Source organism: Homo sapiens, chromosome 17 (assembly GCF_000001405.40).
Source record: "Homo sapiens chromosome 17, GRCh38.p14 Primary Assembly".
In the NCBI taxonomy this organism is placed as follows: Eukaryota; Metazoa; Chordata; class Mammalia; order Primates; family Hominidae; genus Homo; species Homo sapiens.
In genome coordinates, this window is record NC_000017.11 from 28,751,846 (window position 1) to 28,769,624 (window position 17,779).

The 17,779-nt window shown below is 48.4% G+C and overlaps 1 protein-coding gene across 28 annotated transcripts in view, besides 2 other annotated features; it reads right to left on the reverse strand.

The window, feature by feature from the left end:
* Positions 1 to 4,134: 4,134 nt before the first annotated feature.
* FAM222B (family with sequence similarity 222 member B) overlaps positions 4,135 to 17,779 on the reverse strand; it is a 99,025-nt gene continuing 85,380 nt past the window's right edge. For 22 of the 28 annotated variants that reach the window (XM_047436371.1, XM_047436381.1, XM_047436376.1 and 19 more), the window contains 2 exons: positions 14,741 to 14,862; positions 4,135 to 8,031 (listed from right to left, as the gene is read on the reverse strand). In XM_047436371.1, coding sequence (XP_047292327.1) covers positions 6,425 to 8,031; positions 14,741 to 14,822 — 1,689 coding nt within the window. In that variant the 5' untranslated portion in view covers positions 14,823 to 14,862 and the 3' untranslated portion in view covers positions 4,135 to 6,424. Of the gene's footprint in view, positions 8,032 to 10,140; positions 10,312 to 14,740; positions 14,863 to 17,779 lie in introns of all 28 variants that reach the window. The other 6 variants (NM_001288640.2, NM_001288637.2, NM_001288639.2 and 3 more) reach the window with 2 other exon arrangements.
* Positions 8,837 to 9,434: an enhancer, noted in NCBI's record as "OCT4-NANOG-H3K27ac hESC enhancer chr17:27087700-27088297 (GRCh37/hg19 assembly coordinates)". NCBI's record gives its function as "activates a minimal SCP1, AML or CMV promoter by ChIP-STARR-seq in primed H9 embryonic stem cells {active_cell/tissue: H9 hESC(primed)}" and the evidence as "EXISTENCE:reporter gene assay evidence [ECO:0000049][PMID:30033119]".
* Positions 9,435 to 10,031: an enhancer, noted in NCBI's record as "OCT4-NANOG-H3K27ac-H3K4me1 hESC enhancer chr17:27088298-27088894 (GRCh37/hg19 assembly coordinates)". NCBI's record gives its function as "activates a minimal SCP1, AML or CMV promoter by ChIP-STARR-seq in naive and primed H9 embryonic stem cells {active_cell/tissue: H9 hESC(naive and primed)}" and the evidence as "EXISTENCE:reporter gene assay evidence [ECO:0000049][PMID:30033119]".

The window sequence follows — 17,779 nt, forward strand, 5'->3', positions numbered from 1 at the left end:
TAATCCCAGCACTTTGGGAGCCTGAGTTGGAGATGACCCTGGGCAACAAAGGGAGCCACCCCGTATCTACAAAAAAATATAAGGAGCCGGGCACAGTGGCTCACACCTGTAATCGCAACACTTTGGGAGGCTAAGGAGGGCGGATTACCTGAGGTCAGGAGTTCAACACCAGCCTGGCCAACATGGTGAAACAAAAGTCTCTACTAAAAATACAAAAATTAGCTGGGCGTGGTGGCAGGTGCCTATAATCACACCTACTTGGGAGGCTGAGACAGGAGTATTGCTTGAACCTGGGAGGTAGAGTCTGCAGTGAGCTGAGATCGCACCACTGCACTCCAGCCTGGGCAACAATGAGCAAAACTCCATCTCAAAAAAAAAAAAAAAAAATTAGTTGGGCATGGTGGTGCACACCTGTAGTCCCAGCTACTTGGGAGGCCCAGGCAGAAGAATCACTTGAACCTGGGAGGTGGAGGTTGCAGTGAGCTGAACTCCAGCCTGGGAAACATAGTGAGACTCCGTCTCTAAATAAATAAATACACTGTCACTGCATGCTTCCGGGGGTCACATTCACATAGTCTAGATGGTGCCTCCTAGAGTTGCATGCAAACAATGGGGCTGTTAACCCCATACTCTGCAAGCCTTGCACACCTGGACCTTATTCAGTGCTAGTCATAACTTGCAGAATTCAGGCCATGTTCTGCAATAAAAGTGTGAGCTGCACTCCCCAAGGATCTACCTCAGCCCAGGAATCATTCACTCTGGAGGAAGCGCTGTACTTTACTAATGTCTAGCTCCGCTTTTGGGCCGACTGCAGATCTTATCTGACACAGGCAGAAGACAGCTTCCTTTCACAGGGGTGGCATGAGGCATAAAGGAGTCAAAACACTTTCACAAAAGAACACCCTCGGCCAGGCACAGTGGCTCACGCCTGTAATCCCAGCACTTTGGGAGGTTGAGGCGAGCGGATCACAAGATCAGGAGTTCAAGACCAGCCTGACCAACATGGCGAAACCCCGTCTCTACTAAAAATACAAAAATTACCTGGGCATGGTGGCGCACACCTGTAGTCCCAGCTTCTCATGGGGCTGAGGCAGGAGAATCACTTGAACCCGGGAGGTGGAGGTTGCAGTGAGCTAAGATCGTGCCACTGCCCGCCTGAACGACAGAGCAAGAGACTATCTCAAGGAAAAAAAAGCACCCCCATCCTGGCTAACATGGTGAAACCCCATCTCTACTAAAAATACAAAAATTAGCCAGGCATGGCGGCGGGCGCCTGTAGTCCCAGCTACTCAGGAGGCTGAGGCAGGAGAATGGTGTGAACCCAGGAGGTGGAGCCTGCAGTGAGCCTAGATTGCGCCACTGCACTCCAGCCTGGGCGACAGAGTGAGACTCCGTCTGAAAAAAAATAAAAAAACAAAAGCACCCTACAGAAAAGGGTGTGCTCAAGAAAGAAGGCTGGTGCTTTAGCTCCGTCAGCATTCAGGAAGCCACCTGCGGACTCTTGCCGCCAAGGGTCTGATTCTACCCTCCCTGAATCCCCCATCTTGTGGAATCTATATGTGTATATATATAATCTATATATATATTATATAATTATATATATAGATATTATATGTATACATATAGATATTATAATTATATATATATATACACACATATATATATAATCTTTTTTTTGAGACAGAGTCTCACTCTTTTTGCCCAGGCTGGAGTGCAGTGGCACGATTTCAGCTCACCGCAACCTCTGCCTCCCGGGTTCACAAGCGATTCTCCTGCCTCAGCCTCCCGAGTAGCTGGGATTACAGGCCCCTGCCACCATGCCTGGCTAATTTTTGTATCTTTAGTAGAGACGGGATTTCACCATGTTGGCCAGGCTGGTCTCAAACTCCTGACCTTAGGTGATCTGGCTGGCCTTCACTTCCCAAAGTGCTGGGATTACAGAGGTGAGCCACTGTGCCAAGCCTCAATTTTCTTTTCTCTTTTTTTTTTTTACGGAGTTTTTTCTCGTCATCCAGGCTGGAGTGCAGTGGCGCGATCTTGGCTCACTGCAACCTCTGCCTCCCAGGTTCAAGTGATTCTCGTGCCTCAGCCTCCTGAGTAGCTGGGACTACAGGCGCCCGCTGCCATGCCTGGCTAATTTTTGTATTTTTAGTAGAGACGGGTTTTCACCATGTTGGCCAGGCTGGTCTCGAACTCCTGACCTTAGGTGATCCAGCTGGCCTCAGCCTCCCAAAGTGCTGGGATTACAGGTGTGAGCCACCACACCCGGCCTCAGTTTTCTTTTTTTAAAAAAATAGTTTTTTCATTTAGAGATGGGGGTCTCACTCCTGTCACCCAGATACTGGCACTGCAGCCGTAAACTCTCGGGCTTGAGGAATCCTACCACTTCAGCCTCCCAAGCAGCTGGGACTACAGGTATGTGCCATCACACCCAACTTTTGTTTTTTTTTTTTTTTTTTTTTGAGACTGAGTTTCACTCGTTGCCCAGGCTGGAGTGCAATGGCGCGATCTCGGCTCACCACAACCTCCGCCTCCGAGGTTCAAGCAACTCTCCTGCCTCAGCCTCCCGAGTAGCTGGGATTACAGGCATGCGCCACCATGCCCAGCTAATTTTGTATTTTTAATAGAGACAAGGTTTCTCCATGTTGGTCAGGCCGGTCTTGAACTCCCGACCTCAGGTGATCCGCCTGCCTCGGCCTCCCAAAGTGCTGGGATTACAGGCGTGAGCCACTGTACCCGGACTACACACCCAACTTTTTACAATTTTTGAAGACACAGGGTCTCACCCCTGGGCACAAGCAATCCACTTCAGCCACCCAGAGCTAGGATTACAGGCATGAGCCACCGCACCCAGCCAGAATCAACTTTTCCTTCCATTACATCTTAGCTCAAACCCAAGCTCAACAGAAGAGGAGGGTAACTTAATTCATTTTTTTTTTTTTTTTCCTGAGACGGGAGTCTCACTGTCGCCCAGGCTGGAGTGCAGTGGCATAATCTCGGCTCACTGCAACCTCCGCCTCCCAGGTTCAAGCGATTCTCCTGTCTCACCCTCCTGAGTAGCTGGAATTACAGGCGCGTGGTACCACGCCCAGCTAATTTTTGTATTGTTAGTAGAGACTGGGTTTCCCCGTGTTTGTCAGGTTGGTCTTGAACTCCTGACCTCAGATGATCCACCTGCTTTGGCCTCCCAAAGTGCTGGGATTACAGGCATGAGCCACTGTGCCTGGCTGCAATCACTTAGTGTTTTTTTTTTTTCCTCTGCAGACAAAAAAATAAAGTTATCCAAAATTCAACATAAGAAAACTGTAATCACCAAGAGGAGCCAGTTACATTGCAGATAACAGTGCCTATCACCTTCACCTCTGTCAGAGGCCCTCAGAATTTCCAAAGTGTTGGAAGTGGAAGAAGGCAGGTTTGAAGTTTTAGGTTGGGTTATTAGCAAACCAGATCCCCATTTCTTGGCTGGGCATGGTGGTTCACGCCTGTAATCTCAGCACTTTGGGAGGCCGAGGCAGGTGTATCACTTGAGGTCGGGAGTTCGAGACCAGCCTGGCCAACATGGTGAAACCCCATCTCTACTAATAATACAAAAAATTAGCTGAGCGTGGTGGCAGGCACCTGTAATCCCAGCTACTCAGGAGGCTGAGACAGGAGAATCCTTTGAACCTGGGAAGTGGAGGTTGCAGTGAGCCGAGATCGTGCCACTGGACTCCAGCCTGGGCGACAGAGCAAGACTTCGCCTCAAACAAAACAAAACAACCAGATCGCCATTTCTCAATGACTTATGGCCCTTGGAATGCAAGTGGCAGGACCTTTTGGGCCTCCAGTGAGGGACAGCAAACCACACTTATCCTCAAACTTCACAGTAAGCCCACAGCAGCCCTGCCCAGGGAGAGGGCCTGTCAGCCGGGTACCCTGTGTCCAGGGTTTCATTGAAGAACTGTCTACAATCACCATAGCACCTGGCCTTAAATAATGGATTTGGAGACGGCTTCTGGGTGGGATGCATATTACAGGGGTACCCCTTTTAAAAATTAGGAATTACTCCTATGAAGTGAGGTATGTTAGAAACTGTTAAGAAAAAGTTACCTCAAACATTCACAGCACTAAACGAATAGAACAAGGTCAGAAAGCGAGGTTTTCTTATTTTTACTGGTTTATAATAATCTTAAAAACCCCATCACACCCATAAACCACCACAGGTGAGGTGAGAGAGATGGAGAATGAATGCTACAGTATGTGGATAGAATGGGGAATCCAGGTATTCCCTAGGGTAGTGTAGGATGGAGACAGGGAGTGTGGAGAGGAGGCCCTGGCTTGGACCCTTATTGCTGGCTGGGGGTTGGCTGGCAGAGGGGAGAGGGACTCAGGCTGAACTCCGAAAGAAGGAACATCTCACACCAAAGGCGAGGGCAGTTGGGGGCAGGGGGATCACAGTACATTTTCCATGCAGACTAAGGGTGGGAGTGAGAGCTTCAGAGGCTTGCACCCCTACACAGGAAGAGATGGGTTTGAGGTTGTTTGACTTAAAGCCCCCAAGTTGGTGTCTGGTCCAGTTTCCTAAAATAGCAGCTCACCTTTCAGGGAGAGGTATTGGGGAGGAAAAAAAAATACAGCAAGAATATCTGCTTTGGAGATCAAGCAAGGGGTAGGGGGAAGACAGTGGTGCTCTTTAAATCTGACTCAGAAAAGCAGGAACTGGAAGAGGGCCCTGGGTGAGATGGCGGCCAACACCTTCGGAGAAGGCATTGAGTCAGAAGCTACAGGTGCTCCTGGGGGATCAGGACAGGGAGGTACCAGTGTTCACAGACGGCAGGAAAACAATTGGGAACAATAAATTAGGACTTCATGTTGCTATCATTTGGCATAACACAATCAGGCTTTTTTTTTTTTCTTTTTCCTTTTAAATATAAGGCAACTTGCCAACACATAACTTAAAACTGGTCTTCAGTCACATTGCTTCAGATCACTAGAGAATTTCTGGCTAACGAACAGTAGTGGATAGTGAACAAAATGCAAAACCTTAAATAAGAACCATCAGCTGACATTCCCCAGAGACAAGAGGAAAGGTAAGGGCTTATTTCATCTGTAAAAAATAAAAAAGCCCAATTCTGCATCTTTAACAGAATGGTGCAAAAATTTGTAACAAAACAGTCTAAGTTTAAAATTACAGAAAAGTGTTTCTAGCCAACTAATTGTCGCTTGGGATGAGACGTGCTGAGCATGGAGTGGATGAAGGTATGCTCTAAGAATGGACAGAGGGCAGGAGGGGCTTGTTTCCAATGTAGGCCCAGCTCCAGGTGTTAGAACCATGCTCATTTGGTAAAGGAAGTACTCAAAGAGCTTAAGGCTTTGTGTTTGTTTTTTTTTCCTTCATTAAACTGAGGGGCTGCACTAGAGGGTGAATGTACCTGTGGGGCCACTCACACACAATGCTACTCAAACCCACACTACATTCATACAGAAACGTAACGTTTAAAACTTACAGTGTAGAGCAATATTCTTAGCCAGTGTAGAGAGAACCAAATGCATTTTTTTTTTTTTGGTGTTTTTAATCCCAAACTCCAATGTGATCATTCCTTACCTACCTAATTCCTCAAGTAAGGTAGATTTTGTTTTTGTTGAGGGGGAAAGGATAGGGGCTGTGGGGAGGTGAGTTAGGGGACAGGCAACAGTGAGAAAGGGATCTTGGGTATGCTCAAAGGTCACTGTATTTTTCTAGGTTTGGAAAGGGGAGTCTGGAACCAAGATGCCAATACAAAGACTTTTTCCCCCCATATCTCAAGAAATGGTCAAATACTTCCAAGATGCCCTTGAGATCAAGTGTGGCAAGGGCAAGTGCAGTGGCTGTGGGATCAATATAGACACAAAACAAAGCCTTGAGGAATGGAAAGGAACTTGAAGGATATGAAGACTGGGTCAGCTTTGATTTGAGATCCTTCGATGAGTAAGTAATTAGCTTTCAGAGCACCTGGGAAATCTTGCTTCTTAGTCCTGGAGGGAGGGGAAGGGGGGTAGCAACAGGTAGAGGTCTGGATTAGGGGCCTGAGCACCTATACTACCTCAACTAGGGCATTCCGTCAGCCCACACCTCAGTCGTCCTAAGGGAAACAGGAAGAGATTCAAGAAAAGATGGGTGGGAGCTGGCTGGAAATGGCCAAGGTGGAGAGACTAGCTGACAGGCAGTCAGTGGAGAGAAAAGCCTGGGCTTAGGGTTAGGTTCTAACATAAAACCAAAAGTTGCTGGAGGGGAGGACGAGAGGACCCCTTCTGTCCCCACTTAGATCCCACCAAATTCCCTTTCTTAGACATCTAAGAATGATCACACTGGAGCAGTGAAACTTTGAAACTATCCAGTTACTTAAAAGACTAAACCTAGGAGGGTGATGTATGATGTGTTGCACGTGGAGGGCAGCAGGGCTACCTATCTATACCCTGGGTGCTGAATATGAAGACTTCGACTCTCTGTGGGATCGGGGGCTCGGTTGCCAGGGGCTCGGTGGGCCTTGCTCAGCATGGCCAGGCTCTGTTCTCGGAAGCAGGCCTGTTGGAAATCCCCACTTAGGTAATCCACTGTTTGCATCAAGCTGTTCTGGCTTGCCACTGGACCGCCCCCGGTCCCTGCTCGGTAGTGGGCCCCGGGAGCTGCCGCACAGTCGAGGGGTGCACCTGTGGGCTGCCCACCGTGGAACGGCATGGCAAGGTCCTGAGACCCCGAGCTGTCGCTATTGGGAGTGGGCAGAATGTTGTTCCACAGGGGTTGGAAGTAGTGACCATTGGGGTAGGCCAATGGGGCTGCCATGCCGTTGACTGGTGGGGATGGGGTCGGCTTTTCCAGGGGTGGCTTCAGATGGAAGGACTGCGCCAGGCAGAGTTCCTGCGGGTAGGCAGGGGCCTTGCCCACAAAGCCAGGCCCTGCCAACTCGCGTCCTGCCGCATGCTTGCCTGTCAGGCCAGGGGCTGGCGTCCCACTAGCCTCGCTGCACATCTGCTGTAGGTGGGCCAGCTGGTGCTGGTTCCAGGTGACTGGCTTGAGGTCGCTAGGGTAGCCAGTGGGGACGCGAGAGATGCCTGTGGGCAGGTTGACAGGACCTGCAGCAGGCAACGCGGCGGTGGCCGCGTGGGTGTGCTCCATGGGATTGACCACACATGAAGGCATTGGTGTGGGGACGCTGTGGGTCGACACCCGGGTGCTTGCATTGATGAGCAGACTGCGACTAATGGGGCTGGGGTTGGCGATCTGGCCCTCACACACTGAGGTAGTGCTGATGCCTGCCCTCGTCTGGCAAAACTGGTTGATCTGGTGCACGATGCTACTCAGGTCCGGAGGCTGGCTGTGCTGCAGAGTGGCCGCCATTGAAAGGGGGATAGTTGAGGTAGACACGGTCACATTCGGGGGGGCATCTGAGTCTGGCATCTTCCGGCCTCCATGCAGCAAGGGATTGTGGGGGTGCTGGAGACCCTGGTGAGCCAGGGCCTGAGGGTGGACCAAGCCCTGGGTTTGGGCCATGGGCTGAGGGTGGCCCAGGCCCTGAGGCTGCTGGAGGCTCTGAGGGTGGGACAGTGCCTGGGGTGGCGGGATACCCTGAGGGTGCTGCAGCGTCTGGGGAGGGGCATGGGCCAGGGTCTGTGCATGCTGCAGGGCCTGCTGGCGGGCCAGAGCCTGGGCCTGGGGGTGGGCTAAAGTGCTGGGTGCCACAGTAGCATAGGGTGCCACTGGGGGGTTCATGATGGCCTCAGGGAGCAACCGGGCTCGGGTGCCGTCAAAGTCCTTGAGTATGCTTTTGGCTGGCACTTTGACAATGGCAAGCAGGCCTGCCTTGGTGGCAGCCTGTGTCGGGTAGGGGCTGTAGCGCTGGGCTGATGTGTCGAGGCCGTTCACAGTACGACGAACGTGTTTCCGCTGGGGAACCTTCACACTGTTGGGGAAGATTTTTATAGTCAGTGGGTTGTTTGCGACCTTCTTAGCATACGCATCCAATTCGGCTGGGGTAGGATAGTGAGCAGTTCTCATTTTCTGTGTAGTGTCCCCTAGAGAGAGAGAATGGGAAGGAGAGCAAAGAGGGAGAGGGAGCTCATCAGTGCCAAGGCAAACAGCCCTTCCAGATTCCCCTTTTGAGGGCCTGGGGTGGGGTGGGGAAATGACTAGATTGTCATCTGTAGCCTTCATTCGAGACCCAGCTTCAGTCTTCACATTAACAAGCACTGCTAATGTTCAGTAAGTGCTTATAGTGGGCCAGGCCTTCTGCCAGATGACAGGCCATCTCAATGAATCCTCACTATTGCTGTAGAAGCAGGCACTATCATCATTTACATTTTATAAATGAGGTAAGTAGAGATCAGAACAGCAAAGCATCTTTCAAAGTCTCATATCTTGCAGAACCAGAATTTGGCCAATTCTCAGAGAGGTAACCGAGAGTTCTCCCCCTACACAGAAATTCAGGGTCGCTGGGCACGGTGGCTCACACTTGTAAATCCCAGCATTTTGGGAGGCCAAGGTGGGTGGATCATCTGAGGTCAGGAGTTCAAGACCAGCCTGGGCAACATGGCGAAACCCCGTCTCTACTAAAAATACAAAAAGTTAGCCAGGCGTGATGGCAAGCACCTGTAATCCCAGCTACTTGGGAGGCTGAGGCAGGAGGATTAATTGCTTGAACCCAGGAGGCGGAGGTTGCAGTGAGCCGACATCGCACCACTGCACTCCAACCTGGGCGACAGAGCAAGACTCTGTCTCAGAAAAAGAAAAAAAAAAAAGAGAGAAATGCAGGGTCTGGAACTCTACCAGCCCATGTGGCTTGGGGGTAGGTTCTAAGCAAAGCTCCTTGTCAGGGCCATGGTGGCCCTTCAGTCTAGAGGGTACCCAGAGCTACGACTCTTCAGTCTGCAGGGACCAATGAGGGATCAGCTTTCCCTTGCATCTTGGCAGCTGGGGGGCTTTGCCCACTGGGTGGGCACCCTGAACAGTAGACAGAATGCTTCCTTTCAGGAGCAGAGGAATAAGCTGCCAACATCTCTCCCCTTCCCCATGTCACAAGTTCACTTTTGTTTACAGTTTACTCTATGCCCGACTGGATGAGGATCAAAGGCTTTATTTATTTGCTTGAGAAGGAAGATAATAATGACAGGGCAGCAGGGAGGGAATTGAGAAGAAAGGATTCAGAGCATCTTTCAGTCCTTTCAGTCCTGAGAGCCAAAAATAGTCTGTATTTGGTCCATGTCAGCTGTCATTTTCCAAAAAGAAAGAGGAAAAACCTGCCTGCCTTTGGAGACTGCGGAAATGCCCACTCGGTGTGCCTCATTAATGTTAACAGTCTCTTTGTTCCCATCTCCTGTTGCCTCCCATCAGGGGGCTCAGCGGATGTCCGGCTTCCAGTCAAAAAGGAAAAGGTTCTGAGAACAAGGGCTCTTTAAGGATGCCAACCTCCTGCAAGGGGGCTCTGCTCTACTCTCTCGTCTCTGAGGGAGGGTCTCCCCTGAGTATACACAAAAGGTGCCTAATAAATGCTTGCTGAATGAGTACACAGACTGCCCAAAGCAGAAGTGGCTTGGCAGGAAGCCCAGGCTCAGCTAGCCGACTCTCTCCTTACTTCCTCCTCTTGCAAAAGGCAGGAGGATAGGCCAACGACTAATCTGACTGAATGCCCAGCTTGTGGCCTCAGGTGGCCTTGGCCCAAAGGAGACTCTATTCAAAGTCACATCACTGGGCATCACCTAGAACAAAGGTAGGCTAATGAGCATATTAGAAGGAAAATGGGTACAGCTCTCTTTGTTTGGTGATAATGCTGGTTAGCAACTCCTGCTCTGGGAAGCAGGAAAAGAAAGCTCAAGTCAGGAGGGGCAGAGAGATTTGGGCCCATGCTCACAAGCAGATCTGGGCAAAAAGAGCCAGGCATCCCCACCTCCCAAAACAGGTCTGTGCTTTCAAATACTGGCAAAAAAGTCTGGGATCACTGATTGAGAGCAAGTCCCTAAACTCAAGACATCAGAATTCCAACAGAAGCTGCCTTGGTCAACCACTGTACCTATGTGTCTTATTGGTCATAATCTCATATAATACTCCTAGCACAGTGCTTTAAACCTAGCCCACCTCCATGCTGGTGGGCTTCTCTCCTTGAAATCCAAGTAGAAGTCGTATAGTACCTTGATGAGTAGAAGAGTCCCTTTGTTCCAAGTTAGTACCAACTCTGAGGTTTTTTTTAGCAGAGGCAAGGGGGAAGCTTGACCTCATTCAGGAGTATGGAAGGGGACACTTATCCACATTGATTAGTTTTCTTTGTCCTGCCTCCACTGATGCTGAAATGGTGAAGAGGGCTGTCAAAGGATTCAGAAATAAAGTGAAATGAGGGTAGGGAGGGTGGCCACAAGGCTACAGTAGCTTTGTTAAGGAAGAACCCCAAAGATGAGTACAGTATATTGAACAAAAAAGGGGTATCATTCTGGGAATACAGCACCATCTACCTCACATACCAGACTTAAGCCTAACTCTTAAAAAAAGTTTTCTGCTGGGCGCAGTGGCTCATGCCTGTAATCCTGGCACTTTGGGAGGCCGAGGCGGGTGGATCATGAGGTCAGGAGTTCAAGACCAGCCTGCCCAGCATGGTGAAACCCTGTCTCTACTAAAAATACAAAAAATTAGCCTGGGATGGTGGAGCGCACTTGTAGTCCCAGCTACTTGGGAGGCTGAGGCAGGAGAATTGCTTGAACCCGGCAGGTGGAGGTTGCAGTGAGCAAAGATTGCACCACTGCACTCCAGCCTGGGTGACAGAGCGAGACTCCATCTCAAAAAAAAAAAAAAAAAAAAAAGTTTTCTCAGCTGGGCATGGTGGCTCACGCCTGTAATCCCAGCACTTTGGGAGGCCGAGGTGGGTGGATCACGAGGTCAGGAGTTCAAGACCAGCCTGGCCAAGATGGAGAAACCCCGTCTCTACTAAAAAAATACAAAAAATTAGCCGGGCATGGTGGCAGGTGCCTGTAATCCCAGCTACTCGGGAGGCTGAGGCAAAGAATTGCTTAAACCCGGGAGGCAGGGTTGCAGTGAGCCAAGATCGCACCACTGCACTCCAACCTGGGTGACAGAGTAAGACTCCGTCTCAAAAAAAAAAAAAAAAGTTTTCTCAACACTTATCACAGCCCCCACACAGGCACCCTGACTACTTATTTTCTTCTGTAATGTATTTCTGTAACTACACAGCCAACACAGATACCACAGCTTTGTAAGCGACTTACTTAAATAGCTTATACCAATAGTGTCATTAATAGAGACATAGACAATGTAGGGAATAGGAAATCTGTAGTTTGTAAAGGGTTAGAGAAACCTGTATTCAAGTACTAGCTTCATCATTTGCCCATACTGAGAGCCTGTCATTCCTCAATTATCAACAGGGATGAATTCTGCTCTCCTACTTCACAGAATTACTAAGATCGAGAGTCAATGAACATTTTCACTAAATGAGCATTTTCATTGAAAATGAAACAATGATGGTCAATAGTTACCATTCAAGGATAGCAGATGTGGCTGAGTCTGACCACAGACAACACAAAGAAAACTGACTAAGGAAGCCCCAACTGCAGGACAACCTGGCCTTCAGCCTGAGAGTTAAATGTAACAGAAAGCACTGCTGTCTATTCCAGGATGGACTGGAGGCAATTTTCTGCCTGAAATTCAGTCCTCCCAATGGAGACCTCTCTGTTCATCCTTCTGTTTTGAAGGTCAGAGGGCACAGGTGGCATAGGCAACAGGAACCTCTATCTGTAGGCAGAGAGGCACAGGCAATGTGTTCAAACACAGATTTCAGAGTCTGAGCTGAGTATGGGCCAGTCACAGGACTGTCATGTGGCACTGGCAAGTGACAAACCCTCTCTCTATACCTTATCCTTCTGACAAAGGCAAGAGAGTCTTCCATATGGAATTTTTGAGGAATGGGTGACAACATATGTGAAAATATTCAATATAGTGCCTGGCACATGGTAGCAACTTGACAAATGTTAGCTATTATTTCTATGACTTTATCCAGTCATTGGGTCAATCTGCCATTTCCAGACCCCTCCACTAGGGGGCAGATATGCACATAAAGAAGCAGTAAAAGAAGGTAATTTTGGCATTTGTCCCCAGAGCCCCAGTGTTCTGCCATGGAAGGAAATCAAAGTTGTTATCTGAAGATGGTTTAAGGACCAAGGACCTTTTATCAGCTATTCAAACAGTAAATATTTACAGAGCCACTACTATATTGTGATCCTGAGAAGGGGAAATACAGAGCAGAGGTTTAGGATTAAGAAAGAAAAAATTTCCAGTGGCGCATGCCTGTAATCTGAGCTACTCGAGAGACTAAGGCAGGAGCACTGCTTAAACCCGGGAGATGGAGGTTGCAGTGAACCGAGATTGCGCCACTGCACTCCAGTCTGGGTGACAGAGGGAGACTCCATCTCAAAAAAAAAAAAAAAAAAAAAAAGGGCCGGGCATGGTGGCTCATGCCTGTAATCCCACTACTCAGGAGACTGAGGCGGGAGAATCACTTGAACTTGGGAGGCGGAGGTTGCAGTGAGCCGAGATCGTGCCACTGCACTCCAGCCTGGGTGACAAGAGCAAAAGTCCTCCTCAAAATAATAAAATAAAATAAAGTGGGCTGGGTGTGGTGGCTCACACCTGTAATCCCAGCACTTTGAGAGGCCGAGGCAGGCGGATCACCTGAAGTCGGGAGTTCGAGACCAGCCTGACCAACATGAAGAAACCCTGTCTCTACTGAAAATACAAAATTAGCTGGGCGTGGTGGTGCATGCCTGTAATCTCAGCTACTCAAGAGGCTGAGGTAGAGAATCGCTTGAACCCAGAAGGCGGAGGTTGCGTTGAGCCGAGATCACGCCATTGCACTCCAGCCTAGCAACAAGAGCAAAACTCTATCTAAAAAAAATAATTAAAAAAAAAATAAAAATAATAAAAGTGAACACCAAGATAAAGCTGCCAATTTGCCCGTCCTCCAAATGGCTTTTCCCTTGATATCACATCTTTGGGTAAAGCTGTCAGAGTGTGTTAAGGAACCCAGAACAAAGGAAGCTTCTCTTTGTCATCTTACTGCATGCCTCTAAGTACGTTCCCTCTCCAGTTGTGTCCCCAGAAGCCCAGAAATAGGCACGATGCAGTTAGGATGCTGATTTGGATGACCAGAGAGTATAACATAACACCTTCATCACCCAATCATCACTTATTAAGATAAAGGATGGGTTGAGAAAGCTATAGCAGAGCTTGCCTTATTGTGTCAGGCAACTGTAGAAGGAGGACTACCACCTTCAGCTGTTATTACATAGAGCTGGATTCACTGGCCAAATTCCAGAACTAGCCAGGCTCTGAGTCTTACGCTCTCTCAAAGAAATGAAGTCTAAAGGCTGGACCATTTTTAACTTCTGATGATGTTCTCACATGGCAGGGGCTGGCAAACGACAGCCTGCGTGCCTGGTCCAGTTGCTGTTTTTTTGTAAAAAAGTTTCACTGGAACACAGACACCCTCATTTGTTTATTGTCTGTGGCTGCCGTTGCCCTACAATGCCAGAGTTGAGTAGATGCAACAGAGACCACATGGCCCACAAAGCTTAAATTATTGGCTATCTGGGCTTTACAGAAAGTTTGTTAACCCCTGTCATAAGGGGTTCAGTTAAGGTGCTGAAGCACCTTTCCTATCAAAGGGAAGCCTAGCCACCTCAATGATTTCCCCTTTGTGCTCTGAATGGAAGGTCTATTCCAAATTTAGGGCTGTTTTTACACCTGAAGATACTATACATGGTAATGTGCCAAGAATAGAATATTTTCCTTGCAGATCATGTATTACAGGGAGAGAAGGTAGGAAGGAGTCCGGGAAAATATGAAGTATAAAACCCCAATTCCAGAAAGTTAAGACAAGAATCTAACAGTTTTCAAAGGCTCAATCTTCTGGGAAGTGTATTAGCAGGAAAATGCCCAGAGAGACTGAGAAAGCTAGCTCTCCATCTCTTCTGAGGGCAAAAGCTCCCTGACTTCCTGTGAACTAAAGTCACACTGACTCAGAAGGCAGGTAGCAAAGCCAAAGGGAACTGTCTGTTTCCATGGTAGACTACTAAGAGAGTTCAAAACAAGAGAACAGCATAGTTTATTTCAGAGATATAGTAAGTAATCTGGACTGTGAGTTTTCATTCAATTCCCTATGAAGGTTCAAACTGAAACACCTTTTTTAAGGGTGATATATATATATATATTTCCCCTGAAGCTCTTTATAGTTTTGTTGTTCAACAGAAAGCTATCAGCAACAATTAAAATTGAGATACAATGGGGAATTACAGAATTTAAGCAGACCCCTAATGGCTGGACACAGTGGCTCACACCTGTAATCCCAGCACTTTGGGAGGCCAAGTTAGGGGCATCACCTGAGATCAGGAGTTTGAGACCAGCCTGGCCAACATGGTGAAACCCTATCTCTACTAAAAATAGAAAATTAGCCAGGCATGGTGGTGGGCACCTGTAATCCCAGCTACTCGGGAGGCTGAAGCAAGAGAATTGCTTAACCCGGGAGGGAGAGGTTGCAGTGAGCCAATCAAGATCGCGTCATTGCACTCCAGCCTGGGTGACAAGAGCAAGACTTCGTCTTAAAAAAAAAAAAAAAAGAAAGGTGTCAAAATTCAAGGTCAGTGTACCCCAGATGTGCTTCAAGGACGGCCCAAATGTAGAGACAAAAACAAAGAATCACACATGCTCCATAGGATCCAGATTACTTACATTTCTGAAGTCCAGTGTTCATCTGCGTGTGAGAAAGAAGCTGAAAGGACAGGTCACCTGGCCCTGGTAGACAGGCTAGCATGGCAGATTGGCATCAACACAACATGGGGCAGTGGCTCACACTGTAATGAACAAAAACAAGGTCATGAAACACAAGGCAACTCATTCGAAGAAGAGAGTAGGAACACTGGATATGACTGGCGTGAGGCCCAAGTTTAGACACATAAAGCAATTTAATTAGCAGTGTGTTGGTTGAAAGTATACTTACATCTTTATCTGTGACGACAATTTGCTGTCAAATATCACTATGGTTAAAATGATTTTTCAGTTACCACAGATGTATGGATGGGAGAAATAAAACTGGAAAGCACCTATTCATACAACTGGAAAGTACAGGTGCATTTATAATGTCTCAGTATTCCTGAGGAGAGTGGGCCCTCATAGGGCCTGGCTCAGCCAGCCCATTTATAGGCCTGGTTGGAGACCAGCCAGACATTTTCAGAAGCAGCACATTATATGATTGCAAAGGTACCCAATGTCTGACTTGTGAGCCAGTAATATGAACCCACTTTTATTTTATTTTTTTTGAGACGGAGTTTCACTCTTGTTGCCCAGGCTGGAGTGCCATGGTGCGATCTTGGCTCACTGCAACCTCTGCCTCCCAGGTTCAAGCGATTCTCCTGCTTCAGCCTCCCGAGTAGCTGGGATTAAAGGCACCCGCCACCACGCCTGGCTAATTTCTTTGTATTTTTAGTAGAGACGGGGTTTCACCATGTTGGCCAGGCTGGTCTCGAACTCCTGACCTCAGTTGATCCGCCCACCTCGGCCTCCCAAAGTGCCGGGATTACAGGTGTGAGCCACTGCACCCGGCCATGAACTTACATTTATTTACTTATTTATTTATTTATTTAAGACAGAGTTCTGCTGTCACCTAGGCTGGAGTGCAGTGGTACAATTTTGGCTCACTGCAACCCTTGACTCCTGAGTTCAAGCGATTCTCGTCCCTCAGCCTCTCTAGCAGCTGGGATTACAGGCGCATGCCGCCATGCCCAGCCAATTTTTGTACTTTTAGTAGAGATGGGGTTTCACCATGTTGGTCAGGCTGGTCTCAAACTCCTGACCTCAGGTGGTCCGCCCGCCTCAGCTTCCCAAAGTGCTGTGATTACAGTCATGAGCCACCGCACCCGGCCGAACTCACTTTTAAATGGAAGGAGGAAAGCATCCTAGGAGGCACAATTAACCACTGTTAAAGCAAATTCTGTTTGCAAATTTCTGGGGCTTCACCCTTCCTGACATGCAATTAGACCTCCTGAACTACCTCTCCCACCCCCTCAAAAGAAATGCATTGCTCCCAGACTAAAGCAAGGAGAAAGGCTGCCAGCAGCTCTCTTCGTGCAGGCAATCCTGACATGTCAAGACCGCACGAGTTTCATTAGTGATGTTTACCAACCAGACATACACAGCCCAAGCAAGCAGACATTGATGGGGCCTTCTGTAGCGAAAGAAGCCCTGTCAACAATGCAAGCTCCTTAGGTAACAGAAATACGATTTTCCTAAATAAGTACACGAACTTCTTTTCCCATATTTCAGAAACCAAGGTGGCAAATTATGGCTTTAGATCACAGCAAAAAAGGAGTGGGGGAAAAGCTCAAAAGTTAAAGACGACAAAAATCTCCTTATTTTCTTGAGAGGGCTCTCTCAGGTATATTAAACTACCTTGTCATGATGAGTATCAGAGGGCTCCTGCTTCCAAGACCAGGTAGCTGAAAAGACACTTTGTAAAAGAGGCTGCTCAAACTGTGTCTAAGATAGCAACTGCAGAAAGAACTGAAGATTGAATGCCTTAATGAGAACAGAGCTGTCCAAGAGTTCTGGCACAGCGTCAGTCTTTTTAAGATCTCTGGTGGGTGGGAAAACAGAATGAACACAGTGAGCCAACTTCAGTGCCTCAAGAAAAAAAAAAAGTCTTGGCCGGGCACGGTGGCTCACACCTGTAATCCCAGCACTTTGGGAGGCCGAGGCGGGCAGATTACCTGAGGTCAGGAGTTCGAGAACAGCGTGGCCAACGTGGTGAAACCCTGTCTCTACTAAAAATACAAAATTAGCTGGGCATGGTGGCGCATGCCTGTAGTCCCAGCTACTCAGGAGGCTGAGGCAGGAGAACTGCTTGAACCCAGAAGGCAGAGGTTGCAGTGAGCAGAGGCTGCGCCACTGCACTCCAGCCCGGGCCACAAGAGTAAAACTCTGTCTCAAAAAAAAAAAAAAAAAAAAAAAAGAGAGACTTCTGTTGGGGTCTGGATGCTGATCTTTACATAATAACTTCTCCCTTAAGACCCTAACACAGCTGAAGGCAAACTCCAAGGAAAGGAAGAGAATTAACAAGTACTGGGAGCTAAAACTGTGAAATGGGCTGTATGAGGGGCTTTAGTGATGTTTTCTTAATTGAGTCTCTCAAGCCTTGGAAACAGGTAACAAACTTCACCTGTCATCTCATCATCTCTAGATGGGATTACTATTAGCCTTCTAAATGGTCTGTTCCACGCTTACCCTTTATCACCCAATCTATTCTCTATTCAGCAATGTTAGTTCTTTTTTTTTTTTTTTTTTTTTTTGAGATGGAGTCTTGCTCTGTTCCCCAGCCTGGAGTGCAGTGGTGCGATCTCGGTTCACTGCAACCTCCGCTCCCGGGTTCACGCCATTCTCCTGCCTCAGCCTCCCGAGTAGCTGGGACTACAGGCGCCTGCCACCATGCCCGGATAATTTTTTTTTGTATTTTTAGTAGAGATGGGGTTTCACAGTGTTAGCCAGGATGGTCTCAATCTCCTGACCTCATGATCCGCCCGCCTCGGCCTCCCAAAGTGCTGGGATTACAGGCGTAAGCCACCGTGCCTGGCCCAAACGGGGTTTCACCCCATGTTGGCCAGGATGGTCTCGATCTCTTGACCTCGTGTTCCGCCCGCCTTGGCCTCCCAAAGTGCTGGGATTACAGACGTGAGCCACCGCGCCCGGCCAATTCTGTTAACTGAAAGTCAGAGCAGC